Source organism: Homo sapiens, chromosome 12 (assembly GCF_000001405.40).
Source record: "Homo sapiens chromosome 12, GRCh38.p14 Primary Assembly".
NCBI classification, from domain to species: domain Eukaryota; kingdom Metazoa; phylum Chordata; class Mammalia; order Primates; family Hominidae; genus Homo; species Homo sapiens.
The window spans coordinates 82,746,795-82,767,811 of record NC_000012.12 but is presented as its reverse complement, the minus strand read 5'-3'; the positions used below and the strand labels follow the sequence as shown (position 1 = coordinate 82,767,811).

The window sequence follows — 21,017 nt, the reverse complement described above, 5'->3', positions numbered from 1 at the left end:
AAATTTCAGAATAGCAGAATTTCAATTTTCGTAAGAAGAAATAAACAATAGAACCAATCGTAGAAAACAAACTTCCTGTGTACCAAAGAAAAGACAAAAACAGATGAAGAAGGAGGAAAAGCTACGTATGGAGTAGAAAGATGAGAAACCAATATTCAGTAAAGGACAAAATTAATAAAAACTGACCAACATCCAGCCATATCCTAGGTCAACTTTTTTTTTTGTTTGAGACAGAGTCTCACTCCATGCCCAAGCTGGAGTGCAGTGGTGTGATCACAGCTCACTGCAGCCTCGACTTCCTGGGTCAAGTGATCCTCCCACCTCAGCCTCCCAAGTAGCTGGGATCACAGGTGTGTGCCACAACGCCCAGCTAATTTTATTTTTTATTTTTGTAAACACAGGATCTCACTATGTTGCCCACGCTGGTCTCAAATGCCTGGACTCAAGCAATCCTTAGCCTTGGCCTCTCAAAGTGCTGGGATTACAGGCATAAGCCACAGTGCCCATTCATACCCTAGTTCAACTTTAAAGTGTAAGAACTTAAGAAATAATCTCAAAAGCAGAAAAAAGAGAAATTAAAAAGCTACAAAGTATGGGGAGTAAAATCAGACTGGCTTCAAATCTTCCAAAAGGCAGCAATACTGTAATTCAAGAATTACATAACCACACAAGTTGTTCACTCATGATTTAAAATAGAGAACAGTGACAGGTATGAAGGAGCCCTCACATGTTTGTATGTAAAGACAGTATTCCTTCACATACAGAGCCAATACCAAGATGAAAAAAAAGCTATTGTCAATCCAATATGGTGAAACCCCATCTCTACTAAAAATACACACAAAAAAATTATCTGGGTGTGGTGGCGTGCACTTGTAGTCCCAGCTACTTGGGAGGCTGAGGCAGAAGAATTGCTTGAACCCGGGAGGCAGAGGTTGCAGTGAGCCGAGATCATGCCACCGCACTATAGTCTGTTGTCTGGGTGACAGAGCGAGACTCCGTCTCAAAATAAATAAATAAATAAATAAATAGAAGAATCAACAATGATACCAGAATTTCTAGATTGAGAGACTAGAAGAATAGTATTGCCTACAATGTAAGTGGGATTTTTATTCAAGGAGACTGACATGGTATACAGGGACAGTAATCTGAATATTTGGAATCTCTGCCATATTTGGCATTTTCGTCGGACTTGATCTAGAATAATCATCTTCATAAGATGTAGGCTAAAAAATGCAACTATGGAAGGGCAGATAAAACCCATTTGTTATTAATTGTGATTCCTCTAAGAAAGAGGAAGTGAAGTGAAGAAGCTAAGACAAAACAGTGTGCCTAGTGATCAATCATCAGGCAGATGTTTGTCAACTCTTCCAGGCTTTGGGAAGGATCATTTCAGGGGAGACCCTTAGTCAATACCATTTTCTTTCTTTGGGGCATTTAGTTGATGAAAAACAGGAACCTGGGAGAGACACAGTAACTTAGCTCATTGGAATTCTCCCTAGGAATGGAAGAATGTAGTCACAGATAAGAGTATGCCTTTGCTATGTTCCAGGAAGCCTACAGTGGAAAGTGCATAGCCCAAAGCGAGAAGGAGAGGGCCAAGTAAAATTTGAAGCATACTCTGCCCTGAGGTGATATTGAACATAGGTAGAAATTTGGAGCTTTTTAAGCATTAGCACTGAAAGCCCAGACACAGAGAAACTTCCAAGCCTTTAGGATCCAAAGCAGTCTTTTAACTGTGAAACTGTCATGGGATCCTAGACCAGCAGAGCCCGGGCCAGGACTGGAACCTGTTTTACCTTGGCTTAAAATGGCAATACACGTTTTGGGCCTCACCCCAAAGAAGCCGGGTATGGTCAGAAATAATGATGTTGAAACCCACTGAGTTCATGAACATTTTTCAGTGTTTCCAATGAAAACTCTTGTTTGATCATCTATCCCCAGCCCCTTTTAAAAAGTATTATCTTTTAATACATAGATTCTTCATTCCTTTTCTTCTTTTCTTTTTCTGACAAATACTTTTTGAGCCCCAGTGATATGACTGGGTGAGAGAATGATGAATATGATAGCAAGGTACCTGTTTTTTCTTTGTTTTTTTTTGTTTGTTTGTTTGTTTTGTTTTGTTTTGTTTTGTTTTTTCGAGATGGAGTTTCACTCTTGTTGCCAAAGCTAGAGTGCAATGGTGCAATCTTGGTTCACCTCAACCTCTGCCTTCTGGGTTCAAGTGATTCTCCTGCCTTAGCCTCCTGAGTAGCTGGGATTACAGACATGTGCCACCACACCCAGCTAATTTTGTATTTGTAGTAGAGACGGGGTTTCTTGATGTTGATCAGGCTGGTCTCAAACTCCCAACCTCAGGTGATCTGCCCGCCTCGGACTCCCAAAGTACTGGGATTACAGGCACGAGCTGCCGCGCCCGGCCAGCAAGGCACCTGTTTTTAGGGAGTCATTAGTCTGTTTGGGGGAAGGAGAGAAATTGAGAACACCCAACATACTATCTGACATAGACTAAACACTTGATACATATTTATTGAATGGATGATTGAGTAATATCATATAGAAAGGTGCTTTGAAATATGAAAGGAAATTAAATCTTGGGACCCCCAAACTCATTAAGCCAAAGGGAAATGTCAAGCTCGAGAACTGGGTCGCGCAAACCTGCCTCCCCATTTTTGGTTCCTAAATAATGTGGCTGCAAGATTAAAAGCTACATGCCTCCCCCATATTTTGCCCACAAGGAAATGCCTAGTGAGCTGCAAGATCTTTAAGGTGTTTCTGTTAAAATTTCACCATGGCAATGTAAATTGATAGCTTACCTTTACAGGTGCAGTCACCCCCCCGCCCACCAGACACAAATGAGTATCTGATTGTTCCCCTGCCCTGTTTTGTCTGTGTTGTCTTACGTAAAATGCAGATTCCCTGCATTTTTCCTCTGCCCTATTTGTCTATGTCATCTTATGTTAAAAAAAAAAAAAAATGCAGATTCACTGAGCCAAAGGCATGAATGAGTATTTTTCCCTACCCCCCTCTTACATGAAAATTGTGTACTTTTAAATATCTCACCCTTTCCCCTTTAAAATTGGAGCCCTCAAAATCATCTTCGGAGAAAGGCGTAGACCTGTCTCCCCGGCGTGGTGTCCTTAACTTTGGCAAATAAACCTCCTAAAATGATTGAGACTTGTCTCATCATTTTTCTCGATTGACAGAGCTTAAGGGCAAAATGTGGTCTTTTAATAAAGTATCTTTAAGCATTTATGCTCCTGTAAAAGATCCCTCCATTGATATATCTGTTGGATTTTGTGAGAGAGCAGAGGCAAAGTCATGTTTTCACTCTCTGCTGACTTTAACAGAAAGCCTCCATTAAAAAAAAGTGTATAGGCCAGGCATGGTGGCTCACACCTGTAATCCCAGCACTTTGGGAGGCCAAAGCAGGTGGATTACCTGAGGTCAGGAGTTCAAGACAAGCCTGGCCAACATAGCGAGACCCTGTCTCTACCAAAAATACAAAAATTATCTGGGTGTGGTGGTGCATGCCTGTAATCTCAGCTACTCTAGAGGTTGAGGCAGAAGAATAGCTTGAACCCGGGAGGCGGAGGTTGCAGTGACCCGAGATTGTGCCACTGCACTCCAGCCTGAGTGACACAATGAGACTCCATCTCAAAAAAAAGTGTGTATGTGTGTGTATATGTATATCTGTGTAGTTACCCATGTTTTCTGCTTTCCCATATTGATGTAAAGAATTATGCTAATAATTTTCCTAAAACTAAATGAATATTGCACCAGAGAATAAAACCAACATAAATACAGTATGATATATTAATATTCACCTAGAGTCTTCTTGCAAGTAGTTTATTTTTGTACCTGTATTCATGAGTGAGATTGGGCTGTGGTTTTCTTTTTTTAAGCTGTATTTTTCAGGATTATGCTAGCATCATAAAATGATTTGAGAAGCTATTACGTTCTCTGAAACATTTTCCATGACAAGAGTATTTGTCCCTTGGGTTTCTGCGAATTTATCTATGTAACCATATTAGCTTGGTTCTCTTTAAAAGGTACTTCATTGACAACTTTCTATTGTTTTTGTGGCTATTGATCTGTTTAGCTTTATTTTCCTTCTTAAGTCACGTTTTTCTTTTTCTTTGGAGAGTCATTCATATCTTTGAGTGGTTAGAATTTATTAGGATAAAACAGTGGACAATGTTTTCTTATAACTTGAAAAGCCTTTGACATATTTTTGTCTGTGTCTTCTTTTATTATCAAGTTCTTCAGTTTATTTACTTCTCTTTAAAAGACCAGAGCTGGGTATGAAACATTTTCTCAAGTTTTCAAAGGGTTATTGTTGTCAGGCTGTAGGCATCACAATCACTGGGGTGGTTGGTTTTAAGTGGACAGTCCTGGATAGCACTCTCCCCACTTGGGTCAGCACATTTTAATAATTCCCCTAAGTGACCTTTCAGTACAGGAAATTTTGAGAACTGATCTAGAGGGTTCTATTTTTTGTAACACTTTTTCTTGGATGTACTAATCTGTTAGTTCTACCATGTTACTTTCTGTCTTTCTGTCTTCTATTCAGTTTGTGGCTCAGATTTTATATCTTAATTATTTTTTTCTTGTTTTTTTTTTCTAGCTTCTATGCTTGAATATCTGTTTAACTTTGTCTGCTTTACAGTGTTTAGGGATGAAAGCATTTTATTTTAAATTTGTGTCTCAATATTACTTGGCATAAAATATAGTCACATTTAAAAAAACTAACTATTATACTACTTGGCACAAAATATTGTCACATCTTTAAAAAATTAATTAACTAATTATTTATAAATTACCCAGTCTCGGGTGTTTCTTCATAGCAGTATGAAAATGGACTAATACACTACCCATATATATTCTCTCACATAGTTTTATGCTTTTGATGGATTTTTCCTTTTTTAAGTTATTTGAGAGGAATGCATCTTTTTTTTGTTCCACTAATATCTACCTTAAATTTTTAAAAAACATAAACATGTATTTTCCTATTCATTAATTTGTTTTTATAAGAAAAAGTACATTGATATCCACTTTTAAAATTCACAGTATTTACTCAATTTTATTTCCTTTGATCACCATTCTCCCTGTGTTTTTATTTGGCATATTATGTTTCCTTTTATGTTTACATATTTCTCTACTCATTTTTTTATAAATTACTGGTACCGTTTGCATTCTCTTTTATGACAGGATTGACAATAGCCACTGCACCCAGCTGACTCTCTCTTCTTTATCTCTTATATTCTATCTCTAAAATATCATCAAAGGAAATAACTTGAATAACAGGGAGGTGGAAAAAGAGGTTAAGCGGCCACGGCATTCCTCTCAGGAAGAGAATTGTTTGGTGGCAAGGCTGGCATTATGTATACGGTAAACGACAGGATGCATTGGGAAAAGACACATAAATGGCTCTACAGTAGAACTGCACGAGCATTGGAGGGGTAGGGGATGAGTGAGTTAAGGAGGAGACATGATGCCCAGCAATGTGCCAGAAAACTGGTTCCAGATAGAGTAGAAGGAAACAGTCGGCCACGCGTGGTGGCTCACACCTGTAATCCCAGCACTTTGGGAGGCCGAGGTGGGTGGATCACGAGTTCAGGAGTTTGAGACCAGCCTGGCTAACATGGTGAAACCCCATCTCTACTAAAAAAATACAAAAATTAGCCTTGCTTGGTGGCATGTGCCTGTAATTCCAGTTACTCAGGAGGCTGAGGCAGGAGAATCACTTGAACCCAGGAGGCGGAGGTTGCAGTGAGCTGAGATCGCACCACTGCACCCCAGCCTGGGCAACAGAGCGTGACTTGGCCAAAAAAAAAAAAAAAAAAAGGAAAGGGAAAGGAAAGGAAAGAAAGAAGGAAGGAAGAAAGGAAAGAGAAAGAAAAAGAAAAAGAAAGAAAGAAAGAGAGAGAAAGAAAGAAAGAGAGAAAGAGAAACAGTCAATGAATATTTTCCAGAGTAGCAATAGCTAAGCGGCTGTAAGAAGATGAGATTTCTAAGGGTCTGTTTAAAGTTGTTGCTGGGTTGCACTGCAAACCCTTCACTGACAGAAAACCTTCATGAAATCTGGGTACACAGCACTAGCATTAATGGGACTCCTGGAAATAAAGAGGTCACTTCTGCCAAGCAGGGTTCCGGGGTGGAAAAGAGACACCATAAGGAGGAGATACAAAGTGTAAGAGTGATCAAGACCTCAGCAAAAACTTGTAGTAGGCAGTGGCTAAGAGAAATGTGAGTTTTGTGTGCACCCCTATAGATGGTAAGGCCATAGAGAATCCCACCACATGTGGGACAGGAATTTAAGCGAATACTCGCTTGAATCTGTGAGGACTGGATGGCCACGGGTGTGAATTGTATGAGTCTCCCTGATGAGCCATCTCCATCCCAACTGACACTGTACTCATCCCCACCCTCATTGCTCTGCAGTTTCTCTTATCTGACCAGCCACAAGTCTCTTAAGAACAAACCATTAGTAAACATCATAACATACCAGGCTGAATGGTAATAACGCATGTTATATCCATATCTCCTTTAACATTTAGTCCAATGAAAAAGGTACTTTGTTGTTTCAGAGTGAGAAAATGCAGACTCAGAAGCTAACAAACTTGATCAAGATCACACTGCTCCTGAGTAGCAAGAATAAAAACTGAAATCTGAGACTAAACCCCACACTCCTTACTGTTTTCTCTACTGCAGCAGTCCCCAACCTTTTTGGTACAAGGGACCAGTTTCATGGGAGACAATTTTTCCACAAGCTTGGGAGCACGGGATGGTTTCAGGATGATTCAAGTGCATTACATATATTGTGTACTTTATTATTATTACATTATAATATATAATAAAATAATTATACAATTCACCATAATGTATAATCAGTGGGAGTCCTGAGTCCTGAGCTTGTTTTCCTGCAACTAGATGGTTCCATCTGGGGGTGAGGGGAGACAATGACAGATGATCAGGCATTAGATTTTCATAACAAGTATGAAACCTAGATCCCTCACATGCGCAGTTCACAGCAGGGTTTGCACCCTATGAGAATCTAATGCCACCACTGATCTCACAGGAAGTGGAGCTCAGGGGGCAATACCAGCAATGGTGAGTGGCTGTAAATACAGATGAAGTTTCGCTGGCTCACCTGCCATTCACCTCCTGCTGTGTGGCCCAGTTTCTAACAGGCCATGGACCCATACTGGTCCATGACCTGGGGGTTAGGGACCCCTGCTTTACTGCATTCTCAAGCTAAAATGTCTCTTTCTCTGGAGAAATGCTTAGCTTCTAACTACAAATCTGCCACTGACAGCTTTCGAGAAAAAAAAAAAAAAAAAAAAAACCCTGGGCACAGTGCAAGCCAAATAAGCATAATTTTAGTAGACAATTTAATATTCTCCTAAAACTAAGAAAATATAATTCATTGAATAAAAACCTGAGGATACATACGCATTTTTGTTGTTGTTGTTTTGACACTGAGTATAAACAGAAAGACCTGGTCAAATGACTGTCAGAAAAAATTTCCAGGATGATGCTTAACCACAAAGGTCTGCCTAGAGATTCAACAAAATGAGAGCTTCTCAAAAGTGCTGATTACATATTTTAAAATAATAATACAAAAAAATAACCCCAATTATTTTCTTTATGTAAGTTAGTCATACTTCCCAAATTTACTTGGTTAGTTTATTAATCTAATCCTGAGACCCAACTTTGGACGAGGTGATAGTATAACTTGAATAACAAAGAAATTAAAACTAAGAAAAACACAAAACACAGGAAATAATCCAGCAGCACCACCCATTCATCAGTTAACAATTTGAGATACACGGTACTTCTGTAAAAATCAGGCTATCGAGGTAACCCAAACTTTGTCAAAATAACTATCGTTCACATTTGGCTTAAAGGAATAATACTAAAGATTTAAACATGTTCACATTTATCCAAATCACTTTAAACATTAACTCCTGGGTTTCTAACCCATAGGCATTAAACCATCCAAGTTGCCACTCGATAGATCTTTACAATTTATTTATCGTTTTACAAACTCGCCTTTGGGCTGTCATCTATAAAAGGGCATAGCCACTGTTTCTGACTAGAGCTCAGAAAAATTGTCAAGCATTTTTAACTTTTTACATTTCCAGCTTTTCATAAAGCAAGAGTCAAGTGCAGTTTTTAAAATTACTCTTATTAAAAGTTTATAAGGTAACAATCAAGTGCTGGAATTTTGCCAGAAGGAATGAGCTACAACTCAGTGCTTATGAATTAATCACATCAGAGAGTTACTAAAATGAGATCAAGACCTCAATGTTCCAGTGTATCCTCTTCACATAAAAGTGCTTTTGTATCATTCTTGGAAATTTTTCATAGAGAGAAAATAAACTGTTCAAAATTTGTAATTAGAATCTTATCTCTCTTTTAAGATACATTTTAAAGATGAGGGTAAATGTTCCTTTAAATTCTTATGACAGCTTCTTGGTCATTTTATGTAATGAAGTATTAACAAAAGCATGTGCAGGTATTGGGCAGGGTTCAAAACATTCTTGTTAAAAGGCTGTTTTAATACACACTAGAGCACTGAGACACATTCTCTTCATTTAAATGTTCAAAAGATGTGAACCAGATTTGCTTCCCAAAGCACAGTGCTTCAAACAACAGTGATGACAACAGTAATAGCAATCATTCACCTTGCCCAGCACTATATAATTGAAAATAATTTTCTAATTCACTTAATTGGCAGACAGCCGTGAGGCAAGTCTGATACTGTCATCTCTTTTTTTTTAACCAATGATGAAACTGATGCTCGGAAATTAAGGTCATATGAAGCTTGTGCAGTACAGCACCATACAGACACCAGTTCTTGACACTCAATCCGGTATGTTTTCCTTATGGCTACACTGCCTCCTACAGTGATATATTTATATGGTGCTGTGCATTTCTCAAATCAAATTCATATAAAATGTTTAACAAATCAGGTTCTCCCACTGGATAAATATTTACATCAAAAGGATAACTAAACTAAAATTATTTCATGATACCATTAGGATTTTAATTATTGTTAAAAGCTATTCTTATGCTAATGGTAATACAGTTTGAATTTAAACTGCTGTTTGAAAGGAAAATGATTCCACAGTTTTATTTGAGGATTAATGGAATTAATTATAGGTCATACATCTAACATTCTACACTACACTTACAAAATAAGTGCTTTTGTGAATAATTTTACAAAATTTATAATTCAGATTGATAACTCTAGATACAGGATCTATGCCTAGGAATGGAACTGCAGAAATGGCTTTAGAAGTGAATGCCAAGTTGTTCTTCAAAGTTTTATACCAACTTATCCTCATACCAGCAATACATAAGAAACTCCATGAATCCACACCATTTTTTGATATTGTGAGTCATATTGTAGAATGTTATACAGCAGTACAAATGAATAAAACAGAGCTACATACTACAACAAAGATAACTTTTTAAAACATTATATTGAGTTTTAAAAAGCAAATGACAGGAGGCTTCATAGAGATCAATAACATTTTTATAAAGCTCAAAACCATGCATATCTAAATAAAGGAATATACACATACAGGGTAAAACTACTTTTTAAAAAACTGGAGAATAAACACAGAATTCCAGATTTTCATAGTAGAGACAGAAATATGATATCTGGGAGAAGTATACAGATATTCAGGTTATTCATATTCTTTTATAAATATAAAATAAGGTAAAATTTATATTTCTTAAGTGATAACAGGACCACACAAATCTTACTTCATACAACTTACAGTAAAATCTGAACAAAAACACTGTTTCTGCCAAAAATAGTCAAGGGTTTTGATTTCCCAAGAGTCTCACGTAATCCTTTGATATTTCAATCAGACTCTTGAAGGGCTTCTCTTGTCATTATCTATGGTGATAATTGCCTGATCCAATCCTGCCATACCAATTTGCCTAGGGGTTTATATGTTAATGCAGATCTTACTGAGCCACTTTCCCTGACTTCATGGAATCCTGCATCCTTTGCAAGATGTAAAATCTGACTGTGCATTTTGCAATGCATTTGCATGTGGTTTTGAGATATTCACAGAAGACAGTAAAAGAATTATCAACACTTGATGCCAAAGAGTGGAAATGTTGGTAGCATTAAGCAGAGAGAAATATACAAATAAGGAGCAATTTGAAAATTCATTAATAAATATTTTCTTGTCTTCAAGAGTAACCTCATAACTGCAGAAATGGTGATAATAAGCACTGTACAGGCTGGATTCCCAAAATATAAAAAGTGTATTTCCTAACCTATATAAAGCCTCAGATTGCTCTTCAATGAACTCACCAAGAGGAACATAAATATCTACCAGTCCCTTAATGTTGCTATAAAGATAAACAAGATAAATTATATGAAAAACTCTTTGTAAGCATTCAAGTATATTTAATCAAATGTTAACGTTTTAAAGAGATTTCACTCATGAGCAAATTGCAAAAGAAAACAACTATACAAATGAAGCAATATTTATCTTGACTTAGAACCAGATGAACATAGCACAACAAATAACAGAGGAATGCTTCCTTAAGCCTCTCTCAAAGATCTCTGGAGGAGGCTCTCATTTGCTTCCTAATAGATTCCCAGTGGAATTATTTAAACTGCAAGCTCTACCACTAAGTCAAAAACAGGATCCACTTACTTTTCAGCTTCACAGGAACATTCTATTAAATAGAGTTAAAGCCATGTATACAGTGAAAGTCATGTCAAATCTGAGAATACCAGGGGTTTTTCACGTGTTGTCTTTTTATCCCTGGAAATCAGAGTTTGATTTCAGGAAAACCACCTGGAATAAGAAAATATAGAGGTTTAAGTACTTCTAAGATAGCAATATTTGTATTATTACCACTAGAGCACTGATTCAAATTCTCTTCACAGGAAGAAAAAGACCCTGGAGGCAAAGGGCTCCATTTGGGTGAACCCTACTATAGCTGTGTGATATTTGGAATCGTAGTTGCCCATCTGTATATACAGCCAGTAGGGCCATCACTTGCAGTACAGGGTGGATGTCTTCCAAAAAAAGTAAATGCTGCTAGGCCAAAATAAATAAATAAATACTATCAAAATCCACAAATGCCTCCACATTTGACAGAGTTGGTGATCATTTCTAAAGCATTCCTAAAAGCTAACTCTCTCCAGGTTCTCTATCTGTTTGCTTTGTTTATATCTAATCACTATTCAGGATACTCTGCTGATGCTAATTATTCAAAGGCAGGAAGGAGGTCTGTATATTCCTTTGTCCCATGCTGTGACCAAATCTGGAAGCAGTAATACCTGCCAACGCAGGGAGGCCACATCAGTAAGGTAAAACCCTCACGCAGCTTTACTGGCAGGATGATTGCTCCCAAGCACATCTAACCTCTCTTTTTGTAAAGAATATATGTAGGCTTTTCCCTTCAACTCTTTGAGACAGACTGTAATAACCCAGCTACTCTGCTAATCAAGGACATTATCTGTCCTTGGAGGTGTTTCATATACATGGAAAAATTTCAAATCATTATTGATAGGAGAAGAATTGTGAGACAAGGATTTTTTAAAATAATTTTACAAGCTTTTTAGTAAATAAAGAAAATATACTAAGTATCCAACTCAAGAAGTTAGAAAAACAAAGTAGAACATACCCAAATAAAAACTAAGGAGATAATCAACCTATGATTAGATAGTTTTACAGATAATTTTATGACATTCAAAGAACAGGTAACTACAAATTATTTAACAAAATACAAAAAGAAGAAATGTTCCTTCAACTTATTTTATGAGGTACTGTCACCCTGACTCCCAAACTAGACACAGGCATCTGATGTCACCTTTGAGCACAAATATCAGGGTTTTTTTTTCCTAGTACAGCATTTTATATTTAGTAATTTCTATTTTTATTATGATAAAAACCCCTATTTTATTTTTTAAGAAAAATACTAACAACAACCACCACAACAAAAATCAATGACATACATATAACAAAAGTTAGCTCTTGGGGTGAAAGCAGTTCCGACACTAAACTTACAAGGGTGTGTCAATCAGGTCTATTTCAGTTACAAGTGACAGAAATCCAACTCAAACTGGTTTACACAAAGCAGAAGAGTTCACTGGCTTGCCTAACTGATCAGGTATTCAGACTAGGTCCTCAGGATTCTGTATCTCCAGCTCCAAGCTCTGCCTTCCTCTCAAACGTGATGGTAGCAAAAGAACTACCACTAACACCGGTGATCTTGCTTATTATTGGCTAAAAAAACTCCAGAAGAAAAAGTAAAGTCTTCTTTTAAATAATTTCAACAAAAATGCCAGGAACTGAATTTCATTTGAACAATTTTGATTAATTAATCATCAGTTAGTCACTGTGGGCAGCAGATGAACCCCTTTTTGATTGCAGCATGGGTTGGGGTGTGAGCAGCCCCTCTTGAACTACATAGACAAAGAATATAGGAGGTTTCCCAAAGGAAATTCCAGACTATAAGAAGAAAATGGGAATTGATGCTGGAGAAGAACTAGCAACAGATAGACACCACAATCAGTTTCTTTGCAATATCTTAAAAGAACAAATAAGAAACAGACATCCTGAACAGCTCAACTCACCTGCTTGCCACCTCCTCTGTAATAAGGCTTCCAGTAATCAGAATTTAAATCACATTTCCCCACAACACTGATGAATTTGAAGAACTTTTCCCTCAAAGCAACTTCAAGTTGGAATGTTGGCATGTACTCCAAACACAATAGTATACAGATGAACTTTGATTGTAATCTCTATTTCAAGGAAGCTTTGATTGGTGAAAGCTGCTCAGATAGCACTTGGAAAATAATTATGCCTTGCATAACACCTTTTTCTGAGATGCTTTCTACAGTTCATTTAACCCATCCTCAAACATTTCTGTTCACAAGGAGATGAGTATGTTATACTGCACTTTGAGAAAATCAAATATAAAAAATTTCCAGGCCATGTAAATTCAGGGGTGCTTACCCACATTCCAAAATGATACACTACTGCATGAACTGCCTCAGCTGAAGTACCTTTTATTTATTTATTTTTATTTTTTTGAGATGAAGTCTTGCTCTGTCCCCCAGGCTGGAGGGTAGTGACACAATATCAGCTCACTGCAAACTCTGCCTCACAGGTTCAAGCGATTCTCCCACCTCAGCCCCCTAAGTAGCTGGGACTCCAGATGCCCAGCACCACACCTGGCCAATTTTTGTACCGTTTTAGTAGAGACAGGGTTTCACCATGTTGGGCAGGCTGGTCTCGAACTCCTGACCTCAAGTGATCCACCCGCCTCGGCCTACCAAAGTGCTGGGATTACAGGAATGAGCCAACACACCCGGCCTGAAGTACTTTTTAAAGGCAAGTACCTCTACTACAATCCAAATATTTAATTTAAAAAGTTTTGTTATATAAATAAATTAGCAGAACATAGCTATTATACTTCTTATAACACAAAGTTTCTAAGCCCCAAAACCCCATGGGTTTTTCTTTGTGTTTTGTTTTGTTTTTTAAAAAATAACAGTTTTCTTAACTCAGTGAATTAAACTATTGATATGAAAAATCAATGACAGTATTTCTAGAAGCCACTAAGAAAGGAGTACCTTCAAAAAAATACAATTACTCTTATTATAAGAAATGCCTTATTCCTGATCTTCTCTCAACTTCTTTCTGATAAACTAAAGGCAGAAATGTTAGTAGATATCATTTCTTTGGGGTATCTCCCAAGAAAGCATCTGGACTTTTGGGCATAAATCTCAATCTCCTGATTCTGGTGACATCTCTATTTGTCCCTTCACAGATTTAACTGTTGGATCCCAGAATGCCCCAATGCCTGGAAAAACGTGACCTACTAAGACTCCCTAGAGAATCCACTCAATGACAGCTCCAACTCCATCAATGTTTTCCAATTAATATAGTACGCTTTATTTTTACCTGTATTTCCTCAACCACTTTCATCACCATAAGACACAAGCTGACATCTGAAATCAATTAACTTTTGTATCAAAAACTAGAAATGCATTTTAGAAGATCCTTGAAAATTTAAACAGCTTTACACAATAATCAATTGGGCCTCCCAGAGAATTTAACTGTGCCTTTGGCAATCTCATGAGAGAGACCTAAATTTCACAAGTTATATCTAAACTTCTCATATCTTCTTTGAAAAAAGTCAGCTTCTGAAGTTTTCTTTTTTTATGACTTCCTTCCAGTTCAGCAAACAGAAGTGAATAACTGTCTTCCTAATCAGTTTTCTCCAGTTAAAACCATTAAGCCACCCAATACATAAAACATTGGTCAATATTAAAAACTTGCTGGTAATAAGCAAATTGTTATAACATTATATTTACTTTTAAAATTTAGCCCTCCACACAGTAAAACCACAGTGAGGAAACAGTTTAAAGAATGTTTACACATGGTCAGTCTCTTTTGCTAAAAAACCAGAAAACTTCTCCTCAAAAAAAAAAAAAAAAGCCATTATGTTTTCAGCTAGCATACTGGCATGACAATATGAAGACTGCAGAAATAAATTATTTTCTCCTTATATACGTCTATAAAATAGATTTTACACAGCTCACCTACGGAGAATGACCTGGCTCCTGAGGGTAGGAGGGCAAAAGTGATGAGTGGAAAAGATGAGCAGCTGAAAGGACCGCCTCATATATCTGGTATCTGCCTGAATGCTTCTTTAACAGAAAAGAAAAGCCACAAGGTCAACAGGGTATATATTTCTATCTTATTGGCTTAAGAGAGCCGCTCATTCAAAAAGATGATGAAAAGACCAAGAGAGAGAAATTCTCACTGTAGCAGCCCTCGAGAACAGCAGGAACAAGTGATCAAGGTGATTTTAGCCTAGGGGTCTAATAAAAGCAAGACAGTGACACCTGATGTTGGATATTTTAAAGCCAGCTGTGCTACTCCATGGCACAGCTGAGCAGGGATAAACAGAAGACAGAAGAGATGTGACTCAATGTGTTGCTAAACCTAGCTCCCTAAAAATCTTGATTATTTATGAAGTTCACTGTCCCTATTTAAAGCAAACCCCAAATACAGCACACATTTGTCTTTAAAGTTCTGCATCCTAGATGTTTACTCATGTCCACTAAGATACATGATGATGTTATGCAGCTATATAGGCCTATTTTAAGATTAATTTGCTGGAGGTGGTAGTTGGTCTTTATGAAGTCTCTAAGCCAATTTACCAAAAGAATCGCCACTCCCCAGTTTATGCTCCCAAGACTATAAACAGCGCCCCTATCGTCACTCAGGGTAACTCCAGCCCTAAGATTCTTTGTTTTGTTTTGTTTTGTTTTTGAGATGGAGTCTCGCTCTGTCGCCCAGGCTGGAGTGCAATGGCATGATCTCGGCTCACTGCAACCTCTGCCTCCCAAGTTCAAGTGATTCTCCTGCCTCAGCCTCCCAAGTAGCTGGGATTACAAGCGCCAGCCACCAGACCTGGCGAATTTTTTGTATTTTTAGTAGAGTCAGGGTTTTGCCATGTTGGCCAGGCTGGTCTCAAACTCCTGACCTCAGGTGATCTGCCCTCCTTGGCCTCCCAAAGTGCTGGGATTACAGGCGTGAGTCACCACCGCACCCAGCCTGAGAGTCTTATAAGCAACGAGAAAGCCTTCAGAAAAAAAAAAAAAAAAAAAGGAGCTTCCAATAAATATAAAAACATAGTTGACAGTCTATGGGGGAGAGGGATAATGTATCTATTTAACAACTATTTGGAAAGATGTTAAATACAGACTGCAAATTACTAATGGAATGGCATTTTTCCCATATAAAAATGTCAATGCGTTTAAACACCAATAGCCAATAATATTGGTCTGAATAAAGTACATGTTCACAATGATCGAGAGGCAGTGTAGACTGACACACTCCTTTTATAAATACTTTGGCATTTTGTTCATCCTTTAACACAAAACTGTTTAACTGGAACCATCCAAAATATGTAAATATGGAAAAAATATTTCAGATTCCACACAACATACAATTCCAGATACTTTTTCCACACTATTTTCCTTCTTTAAAAAGACTACAAACATTGAATGTATCAGAGAATCTTAATATTCACATACATTCATATGAATGTTAATATACTCACCTCCCATGAACCAGCAACATTACCATTATCCATGATTTCTTTATTAGCCATTGTAAACCTTAAAACCTTTCCCATTAAGTGACAATTTACAAATTTCAAAAATTTGAAGTTTCCAAAATAACTTTATATATTTTATTTTATTTTATTTTATTATTATTATACTTTAAGTTTTAGTATACATGTGCACCATGTGCAGGTTTGTTACATATGTATACATGTGCCATGCTGGTGTGCTGCACCCATTAACTCGTCATTTAGCATTAGGTATATCTCCTAATGCTATCCCTCCCCCGTCCCTCCACCCCACAACAGTTCCCAGAGTGTGATGCTCCCCTTCCTGTGTCCATGTCTTCTCATTGTTCAATTCCCACCTATGAGTGAGAATATGCGGTGTTTGGTTTTTTGTCCTTGTGATAGTTTACTGAGAATGATAATTTCCAATTTCATCCACGTCCCTACAAAGGACATGAACTCATCATTTTTTATAGCTGCATAGTATTCCATTGTGTATATGTGCCACATTTTCTTAATCCAGTCTATCATTGTTGGACATTTGGGTTGGTTCCAAGTCTTTGCTATTGTGTATATATTTAATTTTAGAAACCTAGTTTAACACATCATTCTGCCTCAGAATTCAACATTATCCCAGAAATTTGTTAACAAAGAAAAAATAACTCTCATAACACAAAGATAAAGGTTGCAGGCTCTGAAGTCACGCTTGCCTGGGTGTAATTCCCAGCTTCATCACTTGAACTTGGGCAAGTTATTTAACTTTTCTTAACAGTTTCCTCGTTCAAAAAAAACTGGAATTTGTTCAATCAATAACTATTTACTAAGCACCTATCCTGCAATAGGTATTATACTAAATGCTCTCCCAGAATTTAGCCCAGAAGAAGAAAAAGTCATAACACTCATACAGCTTATATTCTAGTGGGATATTTCAGAAGACTTTGGGGAGGAATTAGAAAAATAATACCTATAAAGCACTTTGTATAGTGTCTGAAACAAGGAGAGACAATAGACATAAAGTCAGGATTAATAATAATATCTCACAGGACTGACGATAGCTATTATTATCTCACAGCACTGTGAAAATTAAATAAGCCAGTTCATACAAAGCACTTACCGTTAGGTTTTTAAAAAAACCTCTCTACATATCAGCTATTATCATAAAATAATCAACTTGATTATTTCTGATGCAATCTCTATCCCCTGGAGGTACTGGGTGCGGAGAACAGAGTGCAGAATGCCAATTGCCAACAAGATCCTCTAAGCCCCTAAAGAAATGCCAAACCTGAGGTCACTTCTCAAAAACATGAGGAAAAGACATCCAGGGCCATCTCTTCTCTTCATCTTAAACAAGCATGCTAGTTTCTATAGAAAGCTGCTTGATATGGCCAGCATTGTAGAAAGTATTTAAAATCAATCATTCTTTGTATTAAAAAAAAAAAGATTAAACTTTTAGAGTTCAGTGGTATAAAACAAAAGAGGAACTTCAAAATTTGAATGAAATACAATTAAAGGAATGAGAAAAAAAACTACAAATAAGTATGTAGTGAGCCATCACAGAAATATCCGAATTGGCTACTGTATGTTTTTCTGTGAGAACCCTTCTCTTCCATCTTCAAAACAGGATTGAAAAACAAAGTTTCATGGGCCGGGAACAGTGGCTCATGCCTGGAATCCCAGCACTTTGGGTGGCCGAGGCAGGTGGATCACCTGAGGTCAGGAGTTCAAGACCAGCCTGACCAACATGGTGAAAGCCCACCTCCACGAAAAATGTAAAAATTATGCGGGCGTGGTGGTGCATGCCTGTAATCCCAGCTACCTGGGAAGCAGAGGCAGGAGAATTGCTTGAACCCGGGAGGCGGAGGTTGCAGTGAGCTGAGATGGCACCACTGCACTCCAGCCTAGGCAACAAAGCGAGACTCCGCCTCAAAAAAAAAAAAAAAAGAAAGAAAGAAAGAAAGAAAAACAAACAGTTTCTATCTGTTAACACAATCTTTACCCTTGTTCCTGAAGCACTAGCATTGCTACTGCTTATATCTGCTCTGAGGAGCCACAGAACAAGTAAGGCTGCAAGAGACCAAGAGAATAGGAGCCCACCTGGACCAATAGGGATGAAGACATTCAGTTCTTTGTGCTGAGGCTGTGTCTCACAATCACAGTACAGCTTTTATACCAAATTAAAAAAAAACAAAAAAGCATCAAATCTACAAAGTGGAGCTGTGTCCAGATTTTTAAACTCAGGTGAGAGACACCAAGCAAGTAAAAAAATTGTTTGCTTCCCATGTCTCCCATGAGAATGTAAGTCTACGAGGGCAAGGATTTTGTTTTCTCATAGTGTAAATACAAATGTGTGAGTATTAGTTTCTAAAGTAGAAGCAGTCTAAATTAAAAGAGTTTAGCATACTCAGGAGAAGCCAGTGTGATTCTGGGTAACGTGTGTCCCCAAGGCAGGAAAAGAAGGTTATAAAAACAGAGAACCACCCACTTTAACTCCTCCAGTTGTCAGCAAACATACTCTGAGCCACCGTCAAAGAGGTGCTATGCACATATTTGACGTGAAATAAGCAAAGGATAAGATTCACTGGGGAATTCTATTTATTGGGGTCAAGTAAAACAAGAAGCTACACTTATTCATCAAACCTGAACATATCATTTAACTACCACTAAAAACATTTTAAGAGACAAACAATGCGTAGCACAAACTATGTATTAGGTTTATATATAAGAAGCTTACCCACATATATATAGAGATACACATACATATATACACATACATACGTGTGTGTGTATGTGTGTGATTCTTTTTGTGATGGAGTTTTGCTCTTGTTGCCCAGGCTGGTGTGCAATGGCACGATCTTGGCTCACTGCAACCTCTGCCTCCCAGGTTCAAGCGATTCTCCTGCCTCAGCCTCACAAGTAGCTGGGATTACAGGCATGCACCACCACACCCTGCTAATTTTTTGTATTTTTAGTAGAGATGGGGTTTCACCATGTTGATCAGGCTGGTCTTGAACTTCTGACCTCAGGTGATCCACCCGCCTTGGCCTCCCAAAGTGCTGGGATTACAGGTGTGAGCCACCGAGTCTGGCCCCCACTAATGTATTTAATCCACTCAGTTCATTTGCTTAGGGAGTACCTCTTATGTGACAGGTATAAAGTTAATACTATTAGTCTCCATGTTACACGTGAAGAAACTGGAGTCTGAAGAGATTAAGTAATTTGTACACCATCATACCATTAGTAAGTTGCCAAGCTGGGATTCAATTCCCTCCAAAGCGCATACTGTATTTAACTACCTACCAGAAGAGATGGGATACTCACTCCAGTCATGCCAACATTGCTCCAAAATGACTTCTAAACTTTTTTTTTTTCTTTGAGACAGTCACACTCTGTCGCCCACGCTGGAGTGCAGTGGTGTGATCTCGGCTCACTGCAACCTCCACCTCCTGGGTACAAGCAATTCTCCTGCTTCAGCCTCCTGAGTAGCTGGGACTACAGGTGCGTGCCACCACACCTGGCTAATTTTTTTGTGTTTTTAGGAAAGACAGGGTTTCACCCTGTTAGCCAGGATGGTCTCAATCTCCTGACCGCGTGATCCACCCGCCTCAGCCTCCCAAAGTGCTGGGATCACAGGCGTGAGCCACCGCGTCTGGCCTAAACTTTTTTTAAAAACTACGGTTAATTAGATTGAATTTAGAAAACAAATAAGAAAGTCCAACTTAATACTTAACACCAGTATTTTCTTTTGGTTATATTACCTAGCCCAATTTTCTTATATACTAGCCCAACTGGTGTTTATTATATTATTCAGGATGATCACCAAATCTGATTCTTCATATTAGAACTATCTACAAGCTACTGGAAACAATATCATATTAATCCTCCCAATCAAATAGTTGCTAAAAAGAAAGTGCTAAACGTATTTAAGTAAAAAAGCTACTCCCATGATATGCCAAATAATAGCAACATCATTAGAAGAATTCAGCAGTGGGTCGATATTGTTAGAAGGAACAATACTCCATTGAAGGTATGAATGCTTCTATATTGCCTAACGAGTAAGTCAAAGCAATGCACTCAATTCCATGCTCTAAAATCTTTAGACAAAAAATAATAATGCTTTCCTGAAATTACCTTTTTCTTCCATTTCTTTCCTTCATTACACTTGGCATTATGACAGAGAAATTACCATTATTTAGCTTTTTTACACTTTGGTTCCAATTTAAAGCTGGAAGTCATTATGCACCATAGTAAGATACAGTTAAAAAAATGCTGAACCTTGAATCAGGAGACAAGCTTCTATCCCAGCTCTGCCACTAGCCAGATCTAAAATCTTGGATAAAACCTTAACTTCTCTGAACTTCTATTTTCTCATGTATAAAATGAAGATATTTGTAGTAAATTTAAAATCCTGTTAATATTATCTAAACCTTTTCTTTTTGGTCCTGAAAACTGAAATTAATTAGCACCTCTCATATATCCTGGTATAAAGGAAATGATCACTCTGTGTGTGTTTATTAGTTTGCCATTGTTGTATAACAAGTCACCACAATGGTAGAGGCTTAGGACAAAACAAACTCACTGGCTCACAGTTCTGTAGGTCAGAAACTCAGCAATAACTCAGGTGGGTTCTCTTGCTTAGAGCCCCATCAAGCCAAAATCAAGGTAATGGCCAGACTGGGCTCTTATCTGGAAGCTTTAAGGAAGAATCTACTTCCATGATCATTCAAGTTGTTGGACAAATTCCATTTCCTTGCTATTCCAAGACTGATGTCCTTATTTCCTTACTGGCTGCCATCCAGGAGCCACTGTCAGCTTCTAGAGGCTGTGCACATTCCTTTTCATTTGGCCCTCCTCTGTCTTCAAACTGGCAATAGCAGAGTGAGTAGAGT

At 37.8% G+C, this 21,017-nt stretch overlaps 1 protein-coding gene across 6 annotated transcripts in view, besides 1 other annotated feature; it reads right to left on the bottom strand.

The window, feature by feature from the left end:
- Positions 1 to 21,017, bottom strand: part of TMTC2 (transmembrane O-mannosyltransferase targeting cadherins 2) — a 447,961-nt gene that overhangs the window by 367,055 nt on the left and 59,889 nt on the right. Inside the window, exon 2 of one of the 6 annotated variants that reach the window (XM_017018884.3) lies at positions 10,686 to 10,829. The exons of 4 other annotated variants lie outside the window; for them this stretch is intronic. The gene's annotated coding sequence lies outside the window, so the exon portion shown is untranslated. Of the gene's footprint in view, positions 1 to 10,685; positions 14,469 to 21,017 lie in introns of those variants that run through there. One more of the 6 variants, XM_024448863.2, reaches the window with a different exon arrangement.
- Positions 10,986 to 11,530: an enhancer, noted in NCBI's record as "OCT4-NANOG hESC enhancer chr12:83150061-83150605 (GRCh37/hg19 assembly coordinates)". NCBI's record gives its function as "activates a minimal SCP1, AML or CMV promoter by ChIP-STARR-seq in naive H9 embryonic stem cells {active_cell/tissue: H9 hESC(naive)}" and the evidence as "EXISTENCE:reporter gene assay evidence [ECO:0000049][PMID:30033119]".